The sequence below is a fragment of the Homo sapiens genome, chromosome 3 (genome assembly GCF_000001405.40).
Source record: "Homo sapiens chromosome 3, GRCh38.p14 Primary Assembly".
In the NCBI taxonomy this organism is placed as follows: domain Eukaryota; kingdom Metazoa; phylum Chordata; class Mammalia; order Primates; family Hominidae; genus Homo; species Homo sapiens.
Genome location: NC_000003.12, coordinates 187,720,459 through 187,747,641, shown reverse-complemented (window position 1 = coordinate 187,747,641; position 27,183 = coordinate 187,720,459). Strand labels below are relative to the sequence as shown.

The window sequence follows — 27,183 nt, the reverse complement described above, 5'->3', positions numbered from 1 at the left end:
AAGTATTAAAATATTCAGATTTCACAGGGACAGACACTTTAACGCATATTTCCTAAGCTCCAGCCCTTGTGGAAAATAATCAACCTCTTTGCACCTTTCTGGGTTTTAAAACCTAAAATACAGCCTTTAAAAATGTGTGTGTGTTGTGGGGTAGGGGGGTGCATTGCCAACAACATTTTCGGTGATAGATGGAACTTCTTACGGGACTGTCAATGAAAGAGATTTTCCAAATATCCCAGCAAACAGCAATCTTTCACAGCTCTGATCACTCCTCCATTATAAACCCAAATTTTGGGTTGAGATAGGTAGATTATTTTAGACATATCTTTATTAGAAATTAACAAGTGACGAGATTTTGTGGAAGCTTTAAGAATTCATCTGTAATTTAATAAGTCGCTTGAAGGACTCTCATAGCCAAGGCTCAGAACAGCCTGACCTTTGAAAGCTGCTTCTGGTCCAAACATTTTGGGCTAATTCTTGAGGAATCTGAAATATTATTTTCCCCTCACACCCTTCTTTTAAGAGAGAGACATAAAAGAAACAAGAGTCTCCCTTATTCAGGGATGAGTAGGAGGGGAAAAAACCCGAACCAACATTTAAATAAGGAAACTAGCAGCTCTGAACAAACAAACTAGGACCCACAATGAAATGATTCTGCACTGCAATTGCCTTTAAAAAGAAAGTAATAGAGAAAAAGAGAAGGAAAGAATTTCTCCTTCTTCTCTACCCCCCCCCCACCCCACCCCCCAACTCAGCTTCAAAGCTAAGAAGACTGTGCTGCGTGTAGTGCATTGTAGTTGTGGCAGTCTGTTCTAAATACAGGCAGTATCTGTGATACTGGCACGGCAGGCCTTTAGAATTCCCTCCGGCTGATCTCTTAAACACAGACTGAAGAGATTTTTTTACAACGACCTTGAAACGAGCCTCGAAAACAAAAATCTCAAGACCTTAAGAGAAAACAAAACACAAACAGGTATTTGGCTCACAGAATTTTGTAGAAAACACACACATACCACCCCGCCACCCCCACCCTCCCCCCCACACACACGTTTCTTGCAACAAGAAATTTCCCAAGAGTCAACAATAACAGATTAAACCCACCACTTGCTGTCCTGGAAAGAAACAAACCAAACCAAAACAAATCCTTTGAACATTTCTCTGAAGTGCAGGAGAGACACACTTCAGCAAAAGTCCAAGGGGGAAAAAGAAAATTGCACCAAAGGAAAAAAAAAAAAAAAAAGTGGGGGCTGGGATTGTTACATATGGCCAAAAATTTAAGCTTCTTTCAATAGTATTAGTATTGAAATAATACATCTTTAAAACGCTTGAGGGATTAGATAGGGAAAGAAAAGGCACGTACAAAAAAATCCAACCGATGCCGATCCTGTGATTTACGTAACACCACAAACTTGCAAAAGGCAAAAAATCAGAAGCAAAAATCCATAAACCATCAAAATACAGAAACCAAAAATCCCAAGCCACCACACCAGAAAGAAAAAAACCCAGAACAACAGCAAAAACCCCTGTCCTAAATAAAAATAAAGCAAATGAACCCACCGAAAACTGCTTGGCAAATATTTTTCTCGTGGTGCCTAATATTCTAGTTGGAAAGAGCTGTGATGTTTATTTTATTTTATTTTTCTCTTACTCGCCTCTCTAACCCTACTATATATATAACATACTTTTCCCAGTGGTTCAAACCTCTCGCTCCCTTTTGTGCATTTAGCTCGATCTGCTGAGTTTATGGGTAAGAAAGAAGGAATTAGCCCCAGACCCCGGGAAAGCAAAGCGCACTCCCCCTCTTATGTCACCGAATAGCAAATTAGTTCTCAGAATTCCAGAGGCCGAGCTTTGCTACAGCGAAGGCGCCGACGTCACAGAGGAGGAGCCCACGTGATGGTGGCGGAGCAGGCCATACCATCGTCTTGGGCCCGGGGAGGGAGAGCCACCTTCAGGCCCCTCGAGCCTCGAACCGGAACCTCCAAATCCGAGACGCTCTGCTTATGAGGACCTCGAAATATGCCGGCCAGTGAAAAAATCTTGTGGCTTTGAGGGCTTTTGGTTGGCCAGGGGCAGTAAAAATCTCGGAGAGCTGACACCAAGTCCTCCCCTGCCACGTAGCAGTGGTAAAGTCCGAAGCTCAAATTCCGAGAATTGAGCTCTGTTGATTCTTAGAACTGGGGTTCTTAGAAGTGGTGATGCAAGAAGTTTCTAGGAAAGGCCGGACACCAGGTGATTATTGCTGTTGCTGCCGCCGCTGCTGCTGCTACTGCCGCCGCCGCCGCTGTTGCCGCTGGTGCCGCTGCCGCCGCCGCTGCTCATGATCATTATTTTACCTTTTAATTCTTTTTTTTTCCGCTCTTGCCAAATGCTTTGGCTCCAAGTTTTCTATGTGTATCTATTGATATAAATGTATATATTTATTTATTCTAGCTGTCAGGTGTTAAAATAAATGCCGAAGATTAGTCCCACGTCTCTCCCACCATAGGATATAGATTGTTATGTATTTATTATTATTATTGTTGTCTTTGAGTGAATCGGCCGGTTTGGGGAGGCTTTTGCCACCCTCCCTTGTGTTGTTTTGGTTTTTGGAAAGGAGGTGGAGGAGAGGAAGGAGGGGAATTAGGGGGCGGCCGGAGCAGAGAGGACGAGACAGTGCTTGGGGGGTGATTCGGGCTAGTCTGGGGGCTGTCTGGCCCCAGACCGCGGAGAGGACGCGCGCTCGCGCTCTCGCTCTTTCTGCTGCTGCTTGCGTACGGCTTGTGATCTCTCTGGATTCGTGCGGCTGTGTTTTTTCCCTCTTTTCTCGCTTGCAAACTGCTTTCCTTGCTCCGTCGCTCCTGGCCTCCGCTTCCCTCCCTCCTCTTTTTCCTCGCCTCTTCTTCCTTCCCTTCCCCTGTCCTTCTGGGTAACTCCGGGAGGCAAAAAGGGAGGCTGCCCGCTCGCTCGCCCCGCTGGCTCTCTTCCATCGGCCTCGGTCTTTTAGATTCCCTGCCTTCGAGCCGAACCGAGATTTGGAAGGAAAAAATGCAAGCGAACTCTTTGGGTTTTTGTTTTTGTTTTTTTGGTCATAAATCCAGATGAGATGAAGTATCGTGTCTACTATTTCCTTTCAGAGCCGTGATCTTCCTAATGAGAGCCGAGTGTTTTGGTGTTCCCTGCCCCTGTGTTTTGGGGAGCTTGGGGGCGGGGATGTTGAACACTTTGAAAATTATTCTTTCTTGGTTGTAGTCGAGGGAGTCGGGAACCTCCGCGCGCTCTCCCTGCTCATCCCGAGGAGAGAGACTGATGGCGGGACAGGGCTTCTTGGGGTGGGTGGGAAAGGGGTGCGCACTGCACCTGCGATGCCTTTCAGTGTGCGGGGGGACTCAGGGAACCTCGACAGGACAGCCTGGGAGAACGAGAAAGGTGGCGGGATTTCTGGCCGCTGCGGTGTTTGTATTTTGGGCGCTGCGTGACTCTGTGTTGGCTCCCAATGGCTGTTGCCTCCCTTTCCTAAATTTTATTTTATTTTTTCCCATGGTGCAAGCTCTGTAAAAAGGGAACTGCGGGCCTGAGCGTAGTGGACGCCAGGCTTCAGATTCCCGAGGTCCTTACCTTGGGCGAGGAGAAAGACGAACAGAGCCCCAGCCCGCGTTCCTTATGTGCAAGACTCAGGAGGAGAGAAGGGCACTTTGTGGCCGTGGCTGAGGGGACCCGGCGCGGGAGGAGCGGGCGCGGGCGCGAAAGGGAGATCTTTGTGAGTGATTTTGCAAAAATAGATTGCGAGGTTGGTTGGATTTGCAACCTGTGGCTCTCCTCGAGGGAGTAAGAATGGGGGAAGGCGCGGCGGCGGCGGCCCGGGGAGGGAGTGGGTAGAGTTGGAGCCTCAGAAATCGGCTGAGCTCCGGGGGCGGGCGGGGAGAAAGGGCGGGGGGGCAGCAGGAGCTAGGGGCCACCCCGCTGCCGGATGTAGTGACCGTGGTAAATGTCTTGAGAACTGTGGGTTGCGTTGCCTTTATGATGCCGTGTTATTGGAACCCTGGCGAAAAATGGAACTAGTGTTGCAATAATGAGTTTTAAAGCTCCCCCATGGAAAACAAAAACACAACCAAACCGATTTTTTAAAAAAATGAAAAAAGACCCTCTGTGTTGTGTTCCCTTCTACGATGGTTGTGTTGGTGGCTGGGGTTTGGGGGTGGGGGGTCCTGACAGTTGAGCAGATAAATGACCCCAAACCAGGTGCTGAAAGTCCCAAGCTGTCACAGGGCCCCTGACCACCTCAGAGAGCCAATCTCCACTCCGCGCCCCCTCCCCGCCGGCCCCCGCCACCCCACAACCCGCCAGGATTTAATCTTTTATGGATTTTTTTTTCAGTTTATAGTTTCCAGGAGGAAAGTCTTGTAACGCTTTACTTTTTCTCTTCTTTTTTTAAAGTAAAGTGAGTGTCAGTAGATGTGTTTTTTACAGTCTGGATTTTAAAAAAAGTGGGGCAGGAGAGAGGGAACCAGGGAAAGGGCTGTTTAGAAATACAGTTTGTGGCTCTGAGCGATGCCACCGGCTTCCTCTACAGAGACTGCCAGTTTCCCTTTTTCTTTGCAAGGTGTGTGTGGTTTTAATAAATAACTTAAAAAAAAAAAGAGGGGGCGGCAAGATCCATCAGGAGACAGGTATCTATTTTGCTCACTATTTACTACCAAGAGCCTTTGGCACTAGAACAGAACCTCGTAAATCTGCAGCCCAAGTTGAAGTTCATCTGGCCCTAGTCCACACGCTATTCCTGGAGGTAGCAAACATGAGCTCAAAGAAGAGAGATGAAATCACATTCTTGCTTTAAAATATATACTTTTTTAAAAAAGACGAAAAGATATTTGTCTCTGGGGGAGGAGGAAATGGCGAACAAGTACCAGGAGATGGGCATTCCCTTACTCTAATGACTGCAGTTGAGTCTTCAGGCCAAAATAGAAACCTGTAGATGGCAACTCTCTCTCCACCTCCCCGCCCCGCCCGCCACCCCAAGCTTATAAATAGAAGTTTCCAGTATCCTATTTGGAAGACTTTCCAATACTAGAGGCCGAAGCATTGGCTAGTTTTAAGGGTTGTTGATAGTGACAGTAAGGCTAGATGCTGTTCATAAAAACTGGGCGACTTGAAGGAGACAGCCAGAAAAAGTGGGAATTCTCCAATTGCCCCTTTCTTCTTTTCAGTTTTGAAGGGTTTTATACCAATGCTTTCTTGAAAAGACTAACTTATTCTGGGTTTGGTGGATAGGGATGGGACTCTAAATGCTTAAGTTGTCGTTTGCTGAGCCCTTGAAGAGTTCCAGTTATTGGTTGAGTAAATGGTAGCCACGGCTAGATGTCAAAACCCTTCCTTCCCTCTATCCCCTACAGGGTAATGACACTCACAACCCACTTTGTTGTGAAAAACTTAAGAGATATAGAGGAGGCGGTGCAGCAGCGCCACCCCTCGGTGGGTGAAACTATTGGCAAAAGTCAATTTTTGAAAAATATTGGGAAGTGAACTTATGAAACATTTTTCCCCCAGAGATTTAAAAAAAATAGGGGAGATAAAACTAACGGATAAAAAGGACTTTGAAGTTTATCAAGTAGGGAAGAAAAATGTTGCTTTCCAACTAGGATGGTGTTATAATAGGCAACGTGGTTCTAAGGTTTTTTTTTTTGGTGGGGGGAGGGTGCCTGGTTGATTTTAAGTAGAAGAGTTCTCCAGGCGGAGGTAGCCCGGCCTTCCCCTTGGATTGACTTCTCAGGGCATCTTAATTCTGCTGCCTGTCTGATACCGAGATAGTGAGGGATGTTTTGGTGTAAAACACCATAGTGGCTGGAAATGCTGTAGTTTTGCCGGCGGTGGCAGGACGTATGTGTAGGGGGTGTGTTGAGGAGGTTTGTGGATGGCGTGGAGCAATGGTAGGCTGGTCTGTAGCCCTCTGTGAATCAACATCGAATGGCGCGTGCCGGTTTCCAGCACTGCGCAACAAGTGGGACCGCCGCTGCCGCCGCGAGCACAGCGAGGGTGCAGCGTGGTGGCAGAACTGGCTGGTTTCTCTTTGCCCCAGTGGAAACCAGGAACGGCCCCTCCCAACCCTCCCGATGTCCACTCCGAGACCCACAACTTCACCAAAAGACCATACCCGACTCCCCACTCCCCCGCTTTGCCAGGCGCAGTGAGCCTGAGTGGGATCCAGCACTCGGCCCCCAGCGCCCCTTTCCTCCGAGAAGATCAGGAGTTTATTCCCGACTTTCTTTGCTGGATGACCAGTGTTTGGCAAGAATCTCTGCCAATACTGTCGAGTGCCATTCTGCCTTTTGAAGACAAGTGCACCTTCTTTCCCTTCCCAGTACATAAAGCTTTTCGGAGGCTGGGGGAGAAATCAACTTATGATACATGAAACCAGCTCCAGATACCGCGTTGTGGTTGCTAGAGGCGGGAGCATCGGGAGGAACGGAATTACATACACTAAATTAAATGTTTTCTAGCTTTGCTTTTAGAGGCAATCACACCCCCAACCCTCGCCCCCACCAGACAGAAAATAAAGAGGGGCGGGTAGGGATCGGTGTGGAAGCTGCGGCCGCGCGGCGATTCTCGGACGGGCTGGCCTGCCACCTAGCGGTGGGCTGAGATCGAGTTCGCGGCCATGGGCGGTGGGCTCGCCGTTCCACCTCCCGGGCGGCGGTACCCTGACCAGATGCTAGGACTGACAGAAGGAGGGCACCCTCCAATGGGGATGGCATACAACCTCCAAAGTTTTGGCAAGAGGGATGAAAATCAGAAAGGCCTCGCTGCTTGCCCATCACTCAGCGATGAGCATCTATTTGCACTAAGAAAAACCACAAATAACCCGCTTCGAACACACCATCTTCCTGTCCCTGTGGCCCCTCTTAGGGGAAGTCGGTAGTGGAAGGATGCCACCTAGGAGCTCAGGGGCTTTGGGACGTACAACTCTGTTTTGCAGTTGAGGAAACAGGCCCGACGAGGAGGCTTGTTAGTGGTGAGTTAGTGACTTAACCAGGACCAGATTTTAAGCTTCTGAATTTCATGTCAGTGACTGAAAGCCAAAGGCGGGTTTATCTCAGCTCCTTAGAAGTATTTATGAGAAAGGAGCGGCTGCCAGAACCATGAGTTTAACCTCTTAGGTCACCTTTGTTGCCAGTGTTCATTGGAAACCGCTCCCCAGCAGTCTTGGAGGATTTTTTTTAAAGAAAATATGGCCTAAGATTTTCGGTAATGACACGAAAAGCCCAGATGGTGCTGAAGGGTGTGGGTCTCGGAGCTCGGGGGTTTGCGTGTTAAGAGGGGGGTTAAGGCCTGGACCAAAGACTTGCAGGGCGAGCCTCGATTCTGAAATCGCTCTCTTCCCCTTCCTAACATCCTCTGCATAGTAGCCTGGCGAGAAACCGGGTGTGTGTGTGTGAGGGGGTGGGGGTCATGTGGATAGGCCAGAATTTGTGCCACAACAGTTCCTCCGTAAAGTTTTCTTTCTCCGAGCTCGTGACTTAAGATGGCAAACGCGCGTCCGCATGCTGGCGGCCCCTAGCGGCAGCAGGCGCGCTCTGCAGGGGGAGACAGCGCCGTCGCCCCCGCCCGGGTCGGCGGGGATCGAGTTCGGCCCCTCCCACTGCGGGAGCCGTCGGAGGCCGCGTCGGAGAAACGCGCCTCTGTTCGGACTGGAAACGAATCTGGGAACGAGTTTGAAGCGCGGTCAAGTTTGACTCATCGCTTTCCAAGGACAGTTAGTGCCTTCCATCTTCATTAACGTGAATAAGGACCTTGGCTGACTTCTTTCCAGATCGGATTTTTAAAGGCATTGTTTGCTTGAGGAGATCATGCTTCTCCCCTCCCCCGCCAGCCTTTTTGCAAAGGCTGAGCCCAGTCCAGCCAGGACGGCCGAGGGATCTCTGCTCCGGGACGCGATTTGCTGGCATTGTCTTCGGGCCCTTCTGGAAGGCTGTCTCGCGCTGAGCGTATGGGGAACGTCCCTTCTGCAACTCCTCTTCAGATCTTGATGATAAAACACATCCCTCTGTTTTATTGCATTTCCTAGAAGCTTGCAGGCTTGCAAGAGCACTGTTGGCAGGAAACGTGATAGAAATGAAAGTCAGGACACAATGTCCCCGAACACCTCGGTTATCCAAAGCGGCTGTCGAGGCCATCGCGTTATCAAATTCGCTTTTATTTACTGTCGTCTCCTGCACCCTCCCGTTCCCCAGCCAAGAGGGCGAAGAGTGTTTTCCCCCAAGAATAAAAACAGCTCCGCGATTTGACCTCACCCCCTGCCGCCGGACCACGGTGGTGTCTGCAGCCGTGCAGCTAGTTGGCTGAAACACTGCTGAGACCGGGAGCCCCACGGCAGGGCCCCTGATGCGGGGTTCACTACGGCAGTTGCAGCCTTATTAAAATTCCTTGTCCTTGTCCCTAAACAGTGCTTTACACTTTCAGATTTCCCTTTGGATTTTTCAGCGGGTTATTGGAGTTATTAGATTACCAATAATCCAACAGCCTCTGTAGCCTCTCTGGCTGGAGAGGAGGGGGGAAGGGCGGAAGGCATTCTCCAAATCGGGAGGCTCTGGCCAAACTAGGTCAATGGGAAGGAGGGGAGGGGCGAGAAAGGGGTTGACGGTTTCAAACCTTGATGGAGGGCTCTCTCTAGCGTTAGGCAGCGGTAAAAACACCATTCGGTTTGAGCTCCCGGAACCACGGGACTCCTAATTTCCAATAAATGCACTTACTTCATTTTAACTTCCCAGATTCTCATCCCTACCCCTTATTAAATCCCAACCGTCTCTTTCACCTTTATCCCACCGGGCGAAGGGGTGAGAAAGCCTCAATGTAGGATTTTGAGGCCAAAGGCTCGTTCTTTGCAGACCGACTCTGACCCTTCCGCTTGCCGCAGAAGGGATGAGCGGCGCAGTGTGACGCCACTGGCTAGTTTTAGGACCAGACTGCGGCCTTTGTGGCTGAGTCTTTCGCTGTCCCCTAGCCCCCGAAAGCGCACCCCGGAGCCTGCTACCGAGACCAATTAGGACATGGCACCCGGGGGTTATAATTCCCGGGAGGGCCACAGGAAGGCGAGGCAACTTTGGAGAGTGCCAGTGCGCGCGCAGGGGTCGGGGCCCCGGCCTTTGCCGAGTCCAAGCTGTGTCTCTACGGTTTCGGGGAAATCGGATTCGGAAATCCTTACGGCTTGGCAGCTCCTGTTCTAAAGACTTTGGGCGGAAACCAAGTGGAGCTGGGTTCCCGTTCTTGCCAACGTAGGCGGAAGGGGCTTTCTGTTTAGTTTTTCTCCAACCTTGCCTGGGGCGCCTATGATGGAGACCCTCAGCCCCTAGGGACTCCATCTTTTGACCTTGAAGTCTCGCTCAAACATTCCCCTAAAAGAACGGGGGTGAGGGAGAATGGAAGGCAAAAAGAGGGAAAAAAGCAAATAAACTTCGGAATCGGACAACTTAAAGTCTCGATATGAGCCTCGGATTGTATTCGAACTCCTGGGTTCTAGACCCAGCTCTGCTACTAACTTGTCTGACCTTCCCCATTTATAAACTGTTGTGGGTGAGAGGTGGGACTAGGTGAACTCTGAGAGCCCTGCACTCGGCGCGGACGAGGGATTTAGGGGAAAGTGTGCTGTATTCCCCGCGAGCCTTCCCCAGCGGCCCCGCCTCCCTGGGTGAATCCCCGGCGGCCAGCGCAGCGCAGGCAGCGATCCTGGCGGCTGCCGGGGCCGGCAGCTTCCTGGAAAGTTACTTCTTGTTGGAGCCGGCAATAGGCAAAGTGTGTTCTGTGAAATCCGCAGAGCCGAGATTGACTACGTTCCGGGAATGAGAGGGCTGTGTCATTCCCCTCATTGCCTGCTGCATTGACGGCGTAACAGGAAAAAAAAAAAAAAAAAAAAAAAGGCATACACACAATGTTAGCTACCGAGGTGCACCAAAAGTTTTATTTGAATGTAACTAAATTAAGGGCCGCCACGGTCATACCACAAAGCCTCCGTCGCGCCTTGCGGGGGGCTTCGAGGTGGATCGCCCAGGGGCGGGCAGTCCCTGGAAGACAGGTACGGAGTGGTCGGGGTGGGGTAGCGAAGTCTGCCTAGGCTTGCCCCGGCGCGCAGGGCTGGTGTTTGTGCTCTTATGTGTGAGCGAGAAAATGGGGCTTTCTGGTGCCAGCCCAGGGGAGGAGGGAGGAAAAGGATGGGGTCTTTTGTATTGGCTTGCTCTCTGGCTCTTAACCTCGCCTCTCCCTCTTCTCTCATTTTCTCTCTCTCTCTCTCTCTCTCTCTCTCTCTCTCTCTCTCTCTCTCTCTGTCGTTTCTGCTGTCTTCTCTCTCTCTTTGCTTTTTTTTTTTTTTGGTTCCTGTTTTCTTCTTCAATGGAAAGCTCTTTTAAAGGATCTGTCTTCTCAAGGAGCCTAGTTGGCTATGCACAAGGAAAGCGCCAAAAGAGCTAAAGGGAGGAAGGGAAGAGAAAACATTTAACTCTCCCATGGTGGTTACTGACCCAGCGTGGGTGCGGGGAGATTGGGATGGGAAGTCCAGGTCTGGGGGCAGCCAGCAGTTGTCAGTTTCTCATTGACAGCCCTGCTCCTTGGAGATTGTTTTTGTGGGTAGTCTTGTGTGTGGCATTGGTGGAATGGCTGAATCTAGGAGACGCGGCGTGTCCAGAACTTGCTGGAAATTGGTTTTGAGATTTTGGGCAAGGCCTCTCACCCGGAGCCTCAGTTCCCTCCCTAATAAAGCAGGGCTGTTATAAGGATAAGATGCAATCTTGAGGGGGTGGGAAAGGACTAAGAGCTCTGTAAAAATACAAACCAAATGCTGGTGGTGCTTCCACACCTGCGGCATTTGGGGTGGGGGTGGTGACAACATTGCCCACACTCAACCCACACACTCAGGAGTTGGGGGGGGCTGGTTCTTAAGACGAGTTGGCTTGCAAAGGAGTGAACTTGAGAAGGACCTGCGCCTCGTGTATGTACATTTGTTTTTGGCCAGGCAGAGGCTTACGGTGAAAAGCCCAAGGCCCAGCTGACAGTGGACACAGGGGAATTTGTTTGTTTGTTTCAATCCGCATCTGGAGTGAGTCATTGCCACTTGTCATGGTGAAATGGCAAATCTGGGCTTCCTGTGGTTCCAGAAGCCTGCGACTGGAAATCCACAAGCGAGCTGGTGGTTGAAGCTGGTTAAAGAACAGCCTAGGTATTCCAGAAGTGTTTGAGGATCCCTTCCATGAAGGAAGAGAGGAAAGTTTTTAAGTAAACCTCCCACTCCCATGTGTCTTCAGCTTTCTTTTGCAAAGGAGAAAATCCTTGAAGTTTGGTAAAGACCGAGTTAGTCTATCTCTCTTTGCCTATCTCGAGTTGGGCTGGGGAGAGGAGGAGATAGGTTCTTTTGTCTTTTTCTGTCTTCTCCCTTCCCCACTTCCTTCCCTCCAGTCCCCACTCACTCACATGCACACACTAACCTTGGAGCCGATGGGATTGAGTGACTGGCACTTGGGACCACAGAGAAATGTCAGAGTGTTTGGTTACAGACTCAAGGAAACCTCTCATTTTAGAGTGCTCATTTGGTAAGACTCAGCAGCCTGGAATGGGGCAAAGTGTTTGTGTGGGGGAAGGAACTTAAAAATGAGATTCACCCACATCAGGGTGCTGTCTTGCATGTTCTACAGCACGTAGGCTGATTTGGAAAGGGGACAGGAATTTGAGCCAGAAGACCTAGGGCCGGGTCACCAACCATGTACATGGCCCAACATGACCTTGTTGGCCTCAGGCCTCTTTACCCAGAAAATAGCTCTAAAAGGTTCTGCTTTTTTTTTTTTAAAGGGGGGAAGACAGTTCAAATATTGTTTTATTTTGCAGCCCACATTTGATCATAAATGAGGGTCTTACACCTGTGCTTTTAATGATTTTGTTTTAGAGAAGCCGGTTTGGAAGGAGGTACATATTTCATTAAATCTCTTCAAGGTTTAGTGCTCCCTGGCCAGTTCTCAGCTAAATCACATAGTTAAGTCTTTTACCAGCAGGGAGAAGCACAAACTTAGAAGCAATGGCATTCTGTCTGGTCTTAGACCCAGTAGGGAAGGGAGAGAACACTTTGAAAAAGAAGACAAAGGTTTTCAAGGAATACGTAGACATGACATCTCAGGCTGTGTTCTGCAGAGTCTATATTCAGTCTTAATGTTTCAGATGGGCAGGAAATACTGCCTAGCTGTTTGTCTTGAGCAAGCCACTTGAACCCCTAAGTCTCAGTTTCATCGCCAGTGAAATAAGGATAAAGATATTGGCCCTATCGTCCTTGCGGAATCATTCTAAGGCTTGAAAGATAATATTTTAGCAGGTTTTGAATGACGTCCAGTGGTTTTAGGCCACGGACGAATCGTTATTGTTAATGTTGACAGAACCATTTTTCTTATTTTTTCTTTCCCATAAACTCTAGTGGCCTTTGGATAGTATAAATTTTTTCTTTGAAGAAGGAAATATATGTATGTATGTATGTATAACTAATTAATGTATGCAATTGTACTCCCAGTACTCTGGATAAAAACATTATTATCTCATAGCTTCGGGTGCCTGTTGTTTCCGTAAGAGCAGAGCTGGAAAATGTTTGTTAGCTTGTGGTAAAACCACACCAGCTGGCAAGCTGCAACTATCAAAGCAAAACTAAATGTGTATGTCCTAAAATAAGACTATAGTGGACAATCTTACATTCGTTAAATCAATTTCTGTTTGCTTTCTTCTCTTCTCTGTAGGTTTTGAGCAAAATTTTGGACTGTGAAGCAAGGCATTGGGTAAGTAAATAAAATTATATGCTTTAAAATGTTGGGACAAACTGTTTCTTTTGAATTTGCCAATACATGTGTCTCTGTGAACTTTGCCACTGTTCATTATATGAGACAAGGATAACCAGTTCCCTCTACATCACTCCTAGTCCTCATCCTTCACCTCTGTATTAGACTGTCTTACCACTTGCATGGTCAATCATTGTTACTCTTTCTTTGTACAAACTAATTTAGCCAGCTAATGTTCACCAACAATATGCTAGCTCCTCGAGGTACAAAAGTCAAGCAACTCTAAAGCCTAACAGTAGAGAGAGACCAATGGTGACTGAGATGATGAAATAAGATACCTATGAGAATAGCTATGAGTTTTGAGAGCCTCCTATGAACGAGGAATGTATTTCTAACTTTTATAACCACATAGGTATTACTACTTCCATTTGGGGAAACCAAAGCCCCAAACCAGTAAACAACCTGCTTAAAGTCCCACAGCTAGCAAAAGGCAAGTCTAGCCTGATAATCTTAAAACACAGTGTCTTGACTGGGCGCGGTGGCTCATGCCTGTAATCCCAGCACTTTGGGAGGCCAAGTTGGGCAGATCACGAGGTCAGGAGTTTGAGACCCAGCCTGGCCAACATAGTGAAACACTATCTCTACTAAAAATACAAAAAAATTAGCTGGGCATGGTGGCAGGCACCTGTAATCCCAGCTACTCGGGAGACCGAGGCAGGAGAATCACTTGAACCTGGGAAGGCGGACTTGCAGTGAGCTGAGATTGCACTATTGCACTTCAGCCTGGGTGACAGTGTGAGACTCCATCTCAAAAAACAAAAACAAAAACAAAAAACACGGTGTCTCTCCATTGCAACATACTCACTACCTGTCAGTGCTTGGCAGAGTATTTGGTATGTGGGAAAAACACTCAACAAATATTCATTCCCTTTGCTTTTCCCCTAAAGGGCTTTCTATCCCAACTTGTTGGATAAAAGTTATTCTCCCCATTTTAAAACTATGAAGAATAATGGCCAGAGTTGGACTATGAATTGTTCAAAGATCAAATACAAGGGACCTGAGTTGCATTCTGTACCTTAGCAGGCTAAGCCACCTGCTCTGATACCTGTGGCAAGCAGGAAACAGGTTCTGGAGGACTAACAGGATTTTGGCCTCTTTTTTCAAGTGAAGACAAAATGGCCTCGCCGGCTGACAGCTGTATCCAGTTCACCCGCCATGCCAGTGATGTTCTTCTCAACCTTAATCGTCTCCGGAGTCGAGACATCTTGACTGATGTTGTCATTGTTGTGAGCCGTGAGCAGTTTAGAGCCCATAAAACGGTCCTCATGGCCTGCAGGTGAGGGATCTGAAAGGAAAGGGTGGGTAAGTCAAAGTGGGGTGATGGTGCTGGCAGCCAAGCAAGGCAGAACATGTGGGCCTTTTACTGCATCTGGGATGACGTCTCGCTTTGTCTCCAGATCTCAGCACCATGGCGTGGCACAGTAGGCTCCCAAGTGAATGAATGAATGAATGGATGAATGCACTTTTAGAAAAGAAAGAGCCACGTTCTGTGGGCATAGAGGGAGAAAAATTATATACTGCCCCAAGAAAGGATGTGTTTGGGGCAGACATGGAGAATAACTTCAGTTAACCAGTGAAAAAATGAGAAAAGATTTCAAATGAACTTTCTTTGTCTTTAAGTAGCTTAAGCAAGTTAATTTGAAATGTTTTGCTCTTTTATGCTATAAATGTATTTATTTTTTGCTACAACTGAATTTCCATGGGTGTTCAGAGTATATGCAAGAGTTAGTGAGAGTGAACTAGCTGATTCTTCATGTTTATCAAGTATTTCGAGTTTTCAGAGCAATTTTATATTACATGATATCATCTTCCTGGATCTTTTTAGTAGTCTTCAGTGTTATGCATTACACTATTGCCTTCATTTTATAGATGGTAAAAGGAAAGCACAGGGAGGTTAAATGATACAGAATCAGGGATCTCTATTGCTATTTGAAAACTTATCCAACATCTACTCTAAGCACCTGATTTTTAATAGTGGAAATAACAGAGGCTTATGGAGATATAAAAATAATAGATAATGTTTAGTGAATGCTTACTATATGCCAGGCATCATTCTATATCCTTTACATTTTTATTCTTGCCACAACACTATAAGGTAGACATGATTGTTCCTCCTACTTTGAAGATGAGTAAAGCAAGATGCAGAGAAGCTAAATATCTTACCCAAAGTTGCATAGCTACTTGGTGGAAGTCTGGCTCACTTCTGGCAACCCACTCAGAAAAAGTAGAATCAAGAATCAAGATGATAGCTCAGAATTCTTCTTTACAATTGAGTACTCTTTCCACCACCAGACAGCATGGCACCTGGAGGCATTGCTTGGGGTTTGAGTTGGGTCTTCAAGGAATAACAGACCCTCTGTTAATCTATGGACTTTGATAAAAGCAGTAGAGTATAGATGTAGGCATATTTTTATTTATTTGTCATTCATAGCCAAATTCTAAAAAGAGATAGAATTTTAAAAATAAGTGTAAATGCAATGGAACAAGAAGGAATGCTTATGACAAAGGTAGACTAAGAATAGTTACTGCAAAGGGGCTAAATTTAACTCTGGTAATCTGTACAGTTAAGACTAAAAGGAAAACAGGCCCTGTGACTTTAAGAATATTCACTTAACCCCCCTGATCTTAGTTCCCCTATTTGTAAAGGCAGAGAGTGATAGTACCTACCTTGCAGCGTTGTAAGGAGCAAACGATAATGTATGTAAGGTGCTTAATGACTCCTGACATTTGGTAAGCTCTCCATAAATAGCAGCTATTATTAATTACCGTAGAAGTTCTGGAGGTAGGCCCAGGGGAAAGGGGCTGAGTATCAGTGCTGACTGTAAGGGATCACAGATTCGATATGTCTACTATAGTGGGACATTTGTTTGTTTTACAGTGGCCTGTTCTATAGCATCTTTACAGACCAGTTGAAATGCAACCTTAGTGTGATCAATCTAGATCCTGAGATCAACCCTGAGGGATTCTGCATCCTCCTGGACTTCATGTACACATCTCGGCTCAATTTGCGGGAGGGCAACATCATGGCTGTGATGGCCACGGCTATGTACCTGCAGATGGAGCATGTTGTGGACACTTGCCGGAAGTTTATTAAGGCCAGGTGAGTTGCTACCCGGGTGGAAGCGTCGGAGATGGAAGAGATAGTCCCCGATCAGAAACCTTTGATAATTCATGCATACAGAAAAAATACTCCTCTATGATATGCTGCAACCCACATTTCCACTCTTGTTGCACACTTCTGCTCTTCTTAACTCTTGTGCCCCAGGCAGACTTAACTCCTGTGGCTATACAGGTATGTCCTATGCATTACCGCATCTTGCTTTCTTCCATTCACTTAATATACCCTCTCCTCCCACCCATCCTGCAAGGCTAATCTTGGATGCCAGCTCTTCCATGGAAGTGTTTCTGATTAACACTTTTCCTCCCTCAGCTCTTCCTCTGTGTTGTGAAGCATTTTGCTGGTGCTTTAAACTTTCCTTCTATTTTAATATTTGCATATGTATTTTAGTTCTCCTTTAGACTTCTATTATAACTATTTACATATGTGCCTTAGTTCCCGACCAGACTGTGAGCTACTCAAGGTTATAGGGGCTATCTTACTCACCTTTTATGTCACGCTGCTCCTACTAGGCAGGACATTTATTGAATTGAATGGAGTTCACTGAGTTTAATCTCCTACCTGAGGGGTGATAAGACATGACCTTCATTTAAAGATGAGGAACTTGAGATCCAAAGAAGTGAAGAGCTTCACTAAGTGCAACAGAGACTCAGAGCTTAACTTCTTTAGAACCTTTTGATCCAGCCATGCTAGGGTGATTGCATCCTCGCTCAAACAGAAGGGTTTTCCAGGCTGTGTTTGAAAACCTCCAGGAGCCAGGAACTCAGTGTTCCCAGAACCACACAGCATACCTTGGACAGTTAGAAAGCTTCTCTTTTTGGCTTCTCTTTAACCTTCTTATGGGTTCTAGCTCCGTTAACTGTGATCATGGTGAGCTTGCCTATTTATTTCACCCACATGATGTTCCTTCAGGTATATACAGCTAGAGTTCTTTGTCTCCTGTGAGTGATGACGGTGGCAAGATCATCATTGCTGTCATTTACAAGTACTTTCAGTGGCTCAGGCCTTGTGCTTAGAATGGCTGAGTAACTGGCTCCATGTCACCAGCTGCTAAGTGGCACAGCTAGGTTTGCAAACCAGGTCTGGCTGCTCTAGACCAGGGATTCATACATTGGCATTTGCTGCCTGTTCTTTATGTAAACTTTCATCAGCATCTGGGACAAGTTCTTTCTTCAGTAGGCTACTCGTTTGTGTATGATCCTCCAAAAGTGTCATACCAACATTGTATAAATTCTTTTCCTGTTTCCCTATGTGTAAAATGGAGATAATAATAACCACCTTTCCTTCCTTTCAGGATTTTGCATGGGTGAAGTGAGATAAGGGCTTTGAAAGTTTTATGTGAGCTATAAAATTTCATAACATCAGAAGAGCTATAGATTCACACACATGCATAGATATGTGCCTTAAACATACAAGATTATGTCTAATCAGGCATAGATCATGCCGGAAACTCACTTCCCTTCTCTGGGACTCAGTCTTCCCAATTTCAGGCTGGATTTCCAGGCTTCTAGCATAAATGCGTTGTAATTGTGGTTCCCTGCTCCAGAGCCACGTCACCTATGTCTAGCTAATTCAAACACAGATGTGGTTATATAAGTGTCACTGGAAGGTCATCTATTTAACAGTTCTGATTTGGGGCCGGTGTCTTTCCTCTTTTTTTCTTTCACAGTGAAGCAGAGATGGTTTCTGCCATCAAGCCTCCTCGTGAAGAGTTCCTCAACAGCCGGATGCTGATGCCCCAAGACATCATGGCCTATCGGGGTCGTGAGGTGGTGGAGAACAACCTGCCACTGAGGAGCGCCCCTGGGTGTGAGAGCAGAGCCTTTGCCCCCAGCCTGTACAGTGGCCTGTCCACACCGCCAGCCTCTTATTCCATGTACAGCCACCTCCCTGTCAGCAGCCTCCTCTTCTCCGATGAGGAGTTTCGGGATGTCCGGATGCCTGTGGCCAACCCCTTCCCCAAGGAGCGGGCACTCCCATGTGATAGTGCCAGGCCAGTCCCTGGTGAGTACAGCCGGCCGACTTTGGAGGTGTCCCCCAATGTGTGCCACAGCAATATCTATTCACCCAAGGAAACAATCCCAGAAGAGGCACGAAGTGATATGCACTACAGTGTGGCTGAGGGCCTCAAACCTGCTGCCCCCTCAGCCCGAAATGCCCCCTACTTCCCTTGTGACAAGGCCAGCAAAGAAGAAGAGAGACCCTCCTCGGAAGATGAGATTGCCCTGCATTTCGAGCCCCCCAATGCACCCCTGAACCGGAAGGGTCTGGTTAGTCCACAGAGCCCCCAGAAATCTGACTGCCAGCCCAACTCGCCCACAGAGTCCTGCAGCAGTAAGAATGCCTGCATCCTCCAGGCTTCTGGCTCCCCTCCAGCCAAGAGCCCCACTGACCCCAAAGCCTGCAACTGGAAGAAATACAAGTTCATCGTGCTCAACAGCCTCAACCAGAATGCCAAACCAGAGGGGCCTGAGCAGGCTGAGCTGGGCCGCCTTTCCCCACGAGCCTACACGGCCCCACCTGCCTGCCAGCCACCCATGGAGCCTGAGAACCTTGACCTCCAGTCCCCAACCAAGCTGAGTGCCAGCGGGGAGGACTCCACCATCCCACAAGCCAGCCGGCTCAATAACATCGTTAACAGGTGATTTCAGAGACTGTCTGGGTCTGAGGTCAGGGGTTACCTGGGCAGGGTTCCATGTCGTTTCTTCTTTTCTTGCCTGAATTGCTGAGCCTATTAGAGGTGTGGAATCAGTGCCTATAGATTGAGTTAGTCTGAGTAAGGAAGTATTTTACACTTAAGTAGTGTATATTTTTTCATAGCAAGAGAGATAATTCCCTTCTGGGGCAGAATAGCATTCTGTAAATCCCACAGGCACTTCCTGTGGTCTTGATGTAGCAGGGGACCATCCTACTACCCTTGGACTGAGAGAGATTGTGGGCTGCGGGGAAGCTCTGGCTCAGTTTGACCCTGGTCAGTGATCTTTCTGCAGATACTGTTTGGAGATAAACTTGAGGACAACTCTGGGGTCTCAGAGCTTGAGTGGGCAGCCCAGCTCTGGCCTCTGGGCTTGCCTACACACAGGGAGGAGAGGGTGGTCTTGAGGCCCTGCCCCAGGTGCTGAGGCTGTTTTTACTCCTGTCCATAGGTCCATGACGGGCTCTCCCCGCAGCAGCAGCGAGAGCCACTCACCACTCTACATGCACCCCCCGAAGTGCACGTCCTGCGGCTCTCAGTCCCCACAGCATGCAGAGATGTGCCTCCACACCGCTGGCCCCACGTTCCCTGAGGAGATGGGAGAGACCCAGTCTGAGTACTCAGATTCTAGCTGTGGTGAGTCCTTTTCCCTCCCTCCTCTTGTCAGGGAGAAGGAAGGCCCCTCTGCTCCATAGGTTTTGTGCTCCATTTTACTTATGCTGTTGTCTCTGATTGGAGCAGTCCTCAATTGGAAGTCCACTGGCACTCCAAGTCACCAGCCGTTCATCCCACGCTTCGCTTCTTGGGGAACTGGGTTAACCAAAGCAAGGGATGGGGTTTTAGAGTTGATCTGGGGTAATCAAGACTTACCATACAGTCATTTTAGCTTCATGCCAGCAAAAGTAGCTTGTGGGGCTGGCTGTAACTCCCAGAGCTTTCTCCATTCCTCTATACCAAAATGACTAGGACTGACCTGTGTGCATGTTATTCTCTGCCAGGCTGTACATTCTGTAAGGAGAAGCATCTGACCTTATTCATTCTCACATCCCCCATAGGTAGTAGTAAGTCCCTAGCATGGGGTAGGAACTCAGTAATATTAGTCGAGTTAAAAGAGTTGAAGAGAATTATTAAATTGCAGTTTCTGGATAGTTGGTGGTTGGCATTCCCAGTTTTTACCAGACAAAAAAGTCTAAATCTTCGCCCAGCTCTGGCTACAGTAATAGAGCCCAGTAGTACCTAATCAGGGTAAAATCACCGTGACTTCTCATTTTCAAATTGTTACAACAAATGAAAAAATAAATCAGCTGCTTACACCAAGAGATTTGGCACAGGGTCATGGACCCATAGATGGGAGAGCGGGGACTGTCCCCTCCTGCACCCTGGCTAGTTTGCCTTTGCTCTGCACTCCAGTTCTTTTTCTCTGGGCCTCTGTTCCCACTTCCACCATCAGCTTCGGTCTCCCAGTCTCACAGGAGGATTTGGAGACATGAAATCCAAATAGGTGCAAGGGTGACCACAGAGTGTTCGTCATTGATTCCTCCTTCAGTGACCTCAAAGTAGAATTGAATTTGACCTATATCTTACATTCCTGGAATGCTTTGTGTTTTATTTTGTGTAATATAATATCCTCCTGTGAGGTAGGCAGGACAGGGATTTATTATCTGACTTTGAAGACAGAGATACAGAGAGAGGCTCAGAGGTAAAGGGTCTTGCCCTAGGGCTTCTGTGTATAAATGTAAATAAAACTGTAAACTTATTTTTAAAAATCAATTCTCAGAGCTCTTGGGGAAAGAAAATCTCTGTTGAGCTTTCCTCAAACTGGCGCAGGCCCTCTGAGCACCTGTTGGTTTGAGCTTCCCTTCTGTACCTTAATTCAGTCCATCTCCTTTCTCCCTTCTCTATGGCTAAGACTCTGAATGATAAGAAAAATAAAGTCCCCACAGATCCTTTGCTCCGAGCTCCCATGAATGTCGGGTGGGTGAGTGAGGGACTGAGAGTTCAGTTTGGCACAAGGGGTAGCTACAGAGGAGAGCGGCCTTAGAGCCCTACCTCCCTTCCTCGTGCTGACTTTGGTGTCCCCCTACCACCCTCCAACAGAGAACGGGGCCTTCTTCTGCAATGAGTGTGACTGCCGCTTCTCTGAGGAGGCCTCACTCAAGAGGCACACGCTGCAGACCCACAGTGACAAACCCTACAAGTGTGACCGCTGCCAGGCCTCCTTCCGCTACAAGGGCAACCTCGCCAGCCACAAGACCGTCCATACCGGTATGGCCCTGCCCCACACGACCCGAACTCTCCACAATTATTGGGGCAGGACAGGGAGAGGATCCTAGAGAAAGCTGTGTGGGGCCTGGAGACCTGGTGGGGCAAGGCAGGAGGCAGGCCCCATCCTGGCCTGAACGAGGGGTCTAACCCTGTCTTGTCTTTGCTTAGTGACTCGACTCATCTACTCCCTGTATCCTTTGTCTTTCCTCTGAGATGCTCTATCCTGCTTTTCTGCCTTTGCTGGGGTCAGAAGTGTTAATCCCACTGTACAGGTGAAGAGACTAAGTCTGGGAAAGACAAATAGATTCAATTTTTGTAAAGCCAGAAAAAAAAGCCTGTTGATTTGTTTCAATGACTTGTTCCTTATCAACTCACATTCCTTTACCAGGTAGCTTCTCATGACCTGCTTGTTGTTTAAAATCTACTCTCTTAGTACCGTAAATGGCCCTATTATCCCAAAAACTTTCCATGAAGGAAGGTTCAGCCATTCTATTGGTTTCCTCTGCTGAGCATCTACTCAGGCCCAAGCCCCACCCCTCTTGCAAATGGAATCCAGCTGTAGTTGCCACAAGCGGAAAAATCTGTTTGTTCTAAAAGAGAGAAACTAGAGCAGCCTGATTGTGTCTCCCTGGTGAATGAGTTGATGAGTGAATCTGTCTTATCCAAGGGAAAAGCTAGAAGAACCTTCCCAGGTAATCTGAAGTAGCCCCTCAGGTTCCAGAGAGGGAAACTGAGGCCCAGAGAAGGAGAGTGACTTGTCCAGGTTCCGCAGGCAGATAATCCTAATGACAAAGCTGGTTCTAAAGCCCAGGCTTCCTGGAATCTCCCCCTCTCCTATCCCACACCTGGCATTGTTGCTACTCCGTGCCACCACTTGTTTCTTGGCCCTGGTCCCCTGCGAGGTATGCAGGTGCGTGTGTGAGAGAGGGCTGACAGATGTGGGGGCAGGCCCCTGGATTCTCTCTCTCACATTCCCTAAGGGAAAGGAAAACACAAGTGGCCTCAGGGAGGAGCAGGCTGCTTAGAAATCCAGGAGCCACGGACTGCAGAGACCTTCCTTATTGAATATGGCTTTTCTTTTTCCCTTTTTCTTGGTAATAGGTGAGAAACCCTATCGTTGCAACATCTGTGGGGCCCAGTTCAACCGGCCAGCCAACCTGAAAACCCACACTCGAATTCACTCTGGAGAGAAGCCCTACAAATGCGAAACCTGCGGAGCCAGATTTGTACAGGTGAGCAGAGTGGGCAGGCGAGCGGAGCGGGCAGGCGAGCGGAGCGGGCAGGCGAGCGGAGGAGTGGGCAGGCAAGCGGAGGAGTGGGCAGGCAAGTGGAGCGGGCAGGCAAGCGGAGCGGGCAGGTGAGCAGAGCGGGCAGGAGAAAGTCCCACTCAGTCCCCGTGTGCAGGTGAGCAGAGCGGGCAGGTGAGCAGAGCGGGCAGGTGAGCAGAGCGGGTAGGTGAGCAGAGTGGGCAGGTGAGCAGAGGAGTGGGCAGGTGAGCAGAGTGGGCAGCAGAAAGGCCCACTCAGTCCCTGTGTGCAGGTGAGCAGAGTGGCCTGGAGAAAGGCCCACTCACTGGCTGTGTGCTAATGAGGGGCTGCCCAGAGGCCTGCAGCCCACCCCAGAAGACCTCTCATGCCTTCTTCTTCGTTCAGGTGGCCCACCTCCGTGCCCATGTGCTTATCCACACTGGTGAGAAGCCCTATCCCTGTGAAATCTGTGGCACCCGTTTCCGGCACCTTCAGACTCTGAAGAGCCACCTGCGAATCCACACAGGAGAGAAACCTTACCATGTACGTAAGCCTCTTGAGGCCGCTCTCTGACCTGCGGGGATGTGGAGGGCAGGGAAGGAGGTGGAGCGCAGGGAAGGAGGTGGAGCAGGGAGGCAGTGGAACTGTTTGCTCCCATCTCAAGCACACAGTGGGGCAACCACTACGCTAATGGTTGGAAGACCTAGATCTGGGCCCAATGGCCAGACACCCTGCTTGACCTTGGCCCAAGCATTAGGGGACTCATCTTTAAAATGAGGGTATGGGACTAGGTGATCTGGGCCTTAGGAGAGGAGTCTAGACTGTGGATACATAGACTTGATTCACTCCACCTAGATTCATTCATTTCACAAATACTTATTGATTGCCTCCTGGACACCCCATACTGGGCTAGATGCACATTTAAGAGGAGCTAAGGTGTTTGAGAAGGAACAGTCTTAGGAGGAGGAGAACAAAAAGAATGTTATAAGAATTAATGATGTTACAGGAAAAAATTAAAAAAAAACATAAAGAAGGTCATTTTAAGAAAGAGGAGGCGGCCAGCCATGCAGCACGACACTGTGGATAGGTTCACTGGGATTGGAATGTTCTAGGGCGGGGTCTCGGCAGCTATAGCCTGTGTGCCAATGTTTGAACATTCCATGAACTAGGAATGGTTTTTACAGTTAAAAAGTAAAAGAATATTTTGTGCCATATGCAAATTATATGAAATTTAAATTTCATTGTCCCTAAGTAAAAGGTTATTGGAACACAGCCACGCTCATCTGTGTACGTTTTGCCTATGGTTGCTTTGAGGAGTTGATGACATTCTTCTAGGTGGTGATGGGGACAAGAAGTAATCAATGAATGGTTAACCTACATACCGGAGGTTAACCTGCAAAACATGGTTATTTTTGTTCACTTGTTGATCAAGCTGTGAGTGAATATCTTCTTACTTGCTGTTTGGGCAAATTCGTTATCCTCTTAGTACCTTAATTTCCTAATCTGTAAAGTGAGTTTGAAAATAGTATCTACTTCATGGAGTTGTAGTATTAACTAATGATTAAAGTGTTGAGGATAGCACATGCACATAGTAATAGTAAAATAAATATCTGCTATCATGATTTGCTAGAATTTTAGATGCCTAGGATATCAGAGTTGAGAATGACTTTCAGCCTGTATTGACCCAGGCCATTCAGAAGGGAGATCCAAGGCCCGGAGAGTGAAATGACATGCTGGGGACACACAGCGGTGAATGGCATAGATACAGTAGATTCTCTATGTCTCCCAAGACCAGAGAGTTTACACATGGCCCTGCTCATTTTTTATTTGTCTTCATCTATTTCCATTTTCACTTGAAAACATATACTCTATCTGAACATATTTTATTACCCTTTTTGTTTTAGGATAGTTTTAGATTTATAGAAAAGTTGCAAAGATTGTACTGAGGGCTCCTACCCGCACCCATTTTATCCTATTGTTAACATCTTACGTTAGTTCCATACATTTGTCACAACTAATGAACCAATACTGATAATATAATTATAAGCTAAAGTTCGTACTTTACTTACATTTTCTTTGTTTTTATCTAAGAATGTCCTTTCTCATTCAAGATCTCATCTAGATTACCCCATTACATTTAGTCATCCATTTTACTTTTAAGTAACTTTTATCTAAACTAAAGCGCTTATTACCCATTCATTGAATTAAATCAAGAAACGGCTCCACTTGCTAATGTTTAGTTAGCTTATCTAGGATATATACCCTAGGAAAGAATATAACTGCATTTAAAAAAATTTACCCTAGACTCCAGAATTTCCGTGAATTCAGACTGATCTAGTCCATTTGTCCAGATGTGTTCAGATTAATTGCATAATTTGAATAAGAGGTATATTCTGTGAGGTCCTAGGAAGATTATAAAGTTTAGGAAAAAAATAGCCACTGCCCTCAAAGTGTTACCCACTGAAGAAGGATCCATGCACACGGAGGGCTGTGTGGTAAAGGTAGAAATCTTACAGAGGCTCAAAGGAAAACAAGGATTATTTTCATCCTTGAGAGATTCAGAAATGCCTTAATCATTAGAAGAGTTTGCATCTAACTGCACTTTTGGATAAGACTCAAACTTGTGGAGTTAAGGCAGGGAAGGACGTCTCTAGCAAGGGAGAGGCAGAAGCAACACTTGGGAAAGCAGGGAACGGACATTTGCACAACGCTAGCTTATCTGTCGGCAGAAGCCCGGATGCATATGGGTTCTTCACCTGGCCTTGGAGAGGCAAGAGCTGCCCCAGTCCCTCGTAGGGAGAATCTTCCTCTCTGGGTCTTTGAGCAATGACATCTTTCTTGGGTTGATGACAGCTAACAGTTTGCCTCTGATATCCCTGCAGTGTGAGAAGTGTAACCTGCATTTCCGTCACAAAAGCCAGCTGCGACTTCACTTGCGCCAGAAGCATGGCGCCATCACCAACACCAAGGTGCAATACCGCGTGTCAGCCACTGACCTGCCTCCGGAGCTCCCCAAAGCCTGCTGAAGCATGGAGTGTTGATGCTTTCGTCTCCAGCCCCTTCTCAGAATCTACCCAAAGGATACTGTAACACTTTACAATGTTCATCCCATGATGTAGTGCCTCTTTCATCCACTAGTGCAAATCATAGCTGGGGGTTGGGGGTGGTGGGGGTCGGGGCCTGGGGGACTGGGAGCCGCAGCAGCTCCCCCTCCCCCACTGCCATAAAACATTAAGAAAATCATATTGCTTCTTCTCCTATGTGTAAGGTGAACCATGTCAGCAAAAAGCAAAATCATTTTATATGTCAAAGCAGGGGAGTATGCAAAAGTTCTGACTTGACTTTAGTCTGCAAAATGAGGAATGTATATGTTTTGTGGGAACAGATGTTTCTTTTGTATGTAAATGTGCATTCTTTTAAAAGACAAGACTTCAGTATGTTGTCAAAGAGAGGGCTTTAATTTTTTTAACCAAAGGTGAAGGAATATATGGCAGAGTTGTAAATATATAAATATATATATATATAAAATAAATATATATAAACCTAAAAAAGATATATTAAAAATATAAAACTGCGTTAAAGGCTCGATTTTGTATCTGCAGGCAGACACGGATCTGAGAATCTTTATTGAGAAAGAGCACTTAAGAGAATATTTTAAGTATTGCATCTGTATAAGTAAGAAAATATTTTGTCTAAAATGCCTCAGTGTATTTGTATTTTTTTGCAAGTGAAGGTTTACAATTTACAAAGTGTGTATTAAAAAAAACAAAAAGAACAAAAAAATCTGCAGAAGGAAAAATGTGTAATTTTGTTCTAGTTTTCAGTTTGTATATACCCGTACAACGTGTCCTCACGGTGCCTTTTTTCACGGAAGTTTTCAATGATGGGCGAGCGTGCACCATCCCTTTTTGAAGTGTAGGCAGACACAGGGACTTGAAGTTGTTACTAACTAAACTCTCTTTGGGAATGTTTGTCTCATCCCATTCTGCGTCATGCTTGTGTTATAACTACTCCGGAGACAGGGTTTGGCTGTGTCTAAACTGCATTACCGCGTTGTAAAATATAGCTGTACAAATATAAGAATAAAATGTTGAAAAGTCAAACTGGCTTGGTCTGGAGGGCTTTTCTTGCGTTGGAATGGGGCCTGGCCTGCGTCTGACTCCCTCAGCTCCTAACCTAGTGGAAAAAGCTCTTGGAGGGAAGGGGCTGCTGGCTGCTGCATTCTCAAAAACGAGCGTCTTTTGAGATGAGGCTAGGTTCCTGGTACCTTGGCATGAACGCACATTTGGATCCCAGCACCAGGAGGGACTGCGGACTCCAGGCCCTTTCTGAAGAGCTCAGGTGGGAGATTTTGGAAGGACCTCCCACTCAGCTCTAGGCTAAGCACTTTTGTTTTGTTTTGTTTTGTTTTGTTGTTTTTTGAGACAGAGACTCGGATCTCAGCTTACTGCAACCTCCGCCTCCTGGGTTCCAGTGATTCTCCTGCCTCAGCCTCCCAAGTAGCTGGCATTACAGGTGCACGCCACCATGCCCAGCTAATTTTTTGTACTTTTAATAGAGAAGGGGTTTTGCCATGTGGGCCAGGCTGGTCTCGAACTCCTGACCTCAGGTGATCTGCCTGCCTCAGCCTCTCAAAGTGTTTGGATTACAGGTGTGAGCCACTATGCCCGGCCTAGGCTAAGCATTTAATGACTTCCCTCCTAGCTCTGCTGACACATAGATAGGCATCTCTTCTTCCTCTGAACCTCAGTTTGCCCAGTTTTGGAAGTGAGAAGGCCCATCTTGCTTTCTGGCTTCACGAACAATTTCTCTCTCCTCGGCTCATGGGGCAGTATGAAGGCATGTGGCCCCAGACATATATTTCTCAGCCTGAGTGCATCTGGGGCTTTTTGGTGTCTGCTGGGTGATTGGCAGACATCTGCAGACTCAGAAGCTTTATGAATGGTTAGTGGCCAAGCAAACCTCCATCCCTGCAGAGGTGCTCTGTCCCAAGAGCCCTGCGGCAGAACTCAGCCACCTCCTCCA

General features: G+C 47.3%; 1 protein-coding gene and 2 long non-coding RNA genes across 7 annotated transcripts in view, besides 5 other annotated features; 1 reads left to right on the top strand and 2 right to left on the bottom strand.

Annotated features, from left to right (window-relative positions):
• On the bottom strand, positions 1,616–3,973 carry BCL6-AS1 (BCL6 antisense RNA 1). The gene is made up of 2 exons (NR_173091.1): positions 3,598–3,973; positions 1,616–2,398 (listed from the first exon to the last, which is right to left on the bottom strand). It is a non-coding gene; the product is annotated as a BCL6 antisense RNA 1 (long non-coding RNA).
• On the top strand, positions 2,174–26,265 carry BCL6 (BCL6 transcription repressor). 5 transcript variants are annotated; one of them, XM_047448655.1, is made up of 10 exons: positions 2,174–3,739; positions 12,735–12,773; positions 13,939–14,109; positions 15,712–15,933; positions 17,621–18,592; positions 19,098–19,282; positions 20,744–20,911; positions 22,013–22,143; positions 22,564–22,701; positions 25,041–26,265. In XM_047448655.1, the coding sequence occupies exons 3-10, from the start codon at positions 13,949–13,951 to the stop codon at positions 25,182–25,184; spliced, it is 2,121 nt and encodes a 706-aa protein (XP_047304611.1). In that variant the 5' UTR covers positions 2,174–3,739; positions 12,735–12,773; positions 13,939–13,948; the 3' UTR covers positions 25,185–26,265. The 5 variants fall into 5 exon arrangements, with proteins under 5 accessions (XP_047304611.1, NP_001697.2, NP_001128210.1 ...); NM_001706.5 differs by having other exon boundaries at positions 2,174–2,232; positions 25,041–26,261; XM_005247694.5 differs by lacking the exon at positions 2,174–3,739 and adding an exon at positions 9,737–10,045.
• Positions 2,536–3,061: an enhancer, noted in NCBI's record as "H3K27ac hESC enhancer chr3:187462369-187462894 (GRCh37/hg19 assembly coordinates)". NCBI's record gives its function as "activates a minimal SCP1, AML or CMV promoter by ChIP-STARR-seq in primed H9 embryonic stem cells {active_cell/tissue: H9 hESC(primed)}" and the evidence as "EXISTENCE:reporter gene assay evidence [ECO:0000049][PMID:30033119]".
• Positions 5,452–5,951: an enhancer, noted in NCBI's record as "H3K4me1 hESC enhancer chr3:187459479-187459978 (GRCh37/hg19 assembly coordinates)". NCBI's record gives its function as "activates a minimal SCP1, AML or CMV promoter by ChIP-STARR-seq in naive H9 embryonic stem cells {active_cell/tissue: H9 hESC(naive)}" and the evidence as "EXISTENCE:reporter gene assay evidence [ECO:0000049][PMID:30033119]".
• Positions 5,952–6,453: an enhancer, noted in NCBI's record as "H3K4me1 hESC enhancer chr3:187458977-187459478 (GRCh37/hg19 assembly coordinates)". NCBI's record gives its function as "activates a minimal SCP1, AML or CMV promoter by ChIP-STARR-seq in naive H9 embryonic stem cells {active_cell/tissue: H9 hESC(naive)}" and the evidence as "EXISTENCE:reporter gene assay evidence [ECO:0000049][PMID:30033119]".
• Positions 7,869–8,044: a silencer, noted in NCBI's record as "fragment chr3:187457386-187457561 (GRCh37/hg19 assembly coordinates)". NCBI's record gives its function as "represses an EF-1alpha promoter that drives an FKBP-Casp9 reporter gene in an ReSE screen in K562 erythroleukemia cells {active_cell/tissue: K562}" and the evidence as "EXISTENCE:reporter gene assay evidence [ECO:0000049][PMID:32094911]".
• Positions 8,546–9,525: an enhancer, noted in NCBI's record as "H3K27ac hESC enhancer chr3:187455905-187456884 (GRCh37/hg19 assembly coordinates)". NCBI's record gives its function as "activates a minimal SCP1, AML or CMV promoter by ChIP-STARR-seq in primed H9 embryonic stem cells {active_cell/tissue: H9 hESC(primed)}" and the evidence as "EXISTENCE:reporter gene assay evidence [ECO:0000049][PMID:30033119]".
• The window catches only part of LOC100131635 (hCG1645011-like), a 30,050-nt gene continuing 18,093 nt past the window's right edge, over positions 15,227–27,183 (bottom strand). Inside the window, exon 3 of the long non-coding RNA NR_034062.1 lies at positions 15,227–15,271. This is a non-coding gene — a long non-coding RNA (hCG1645011-like). The remainder of the gene's footprint in view (positions 15,272–27,183) is intronic.

What these genes read in the sequence shown, in the direction of transcription:
- BCL6 (XM_047448655.1), top strand. Translation starts at nt 13,949, where the DNA reads ATGGCCTCGCCGGCTGACAGCTGTATCCAGTTCACCCGCCATGCCAGT. An exon ending in CTCAATAACATCGTTAACAG is followed by an intron (nt 18,593 to 19,097) that starts GTGATTTCAGAG and finishes TCCTGTCCATAG; the next exon opens with GTCCATGACGGGCTCTCCCC. An exon ending in CAGGAGAGAAACCTTACCAT is followed by an intron (nt 22,702 to 25,040) that starts GTACGTAAGCCT and finishes ATATCCCTGCAG; the next exon opens with TGTGAGAAGTGTAACCTGCA.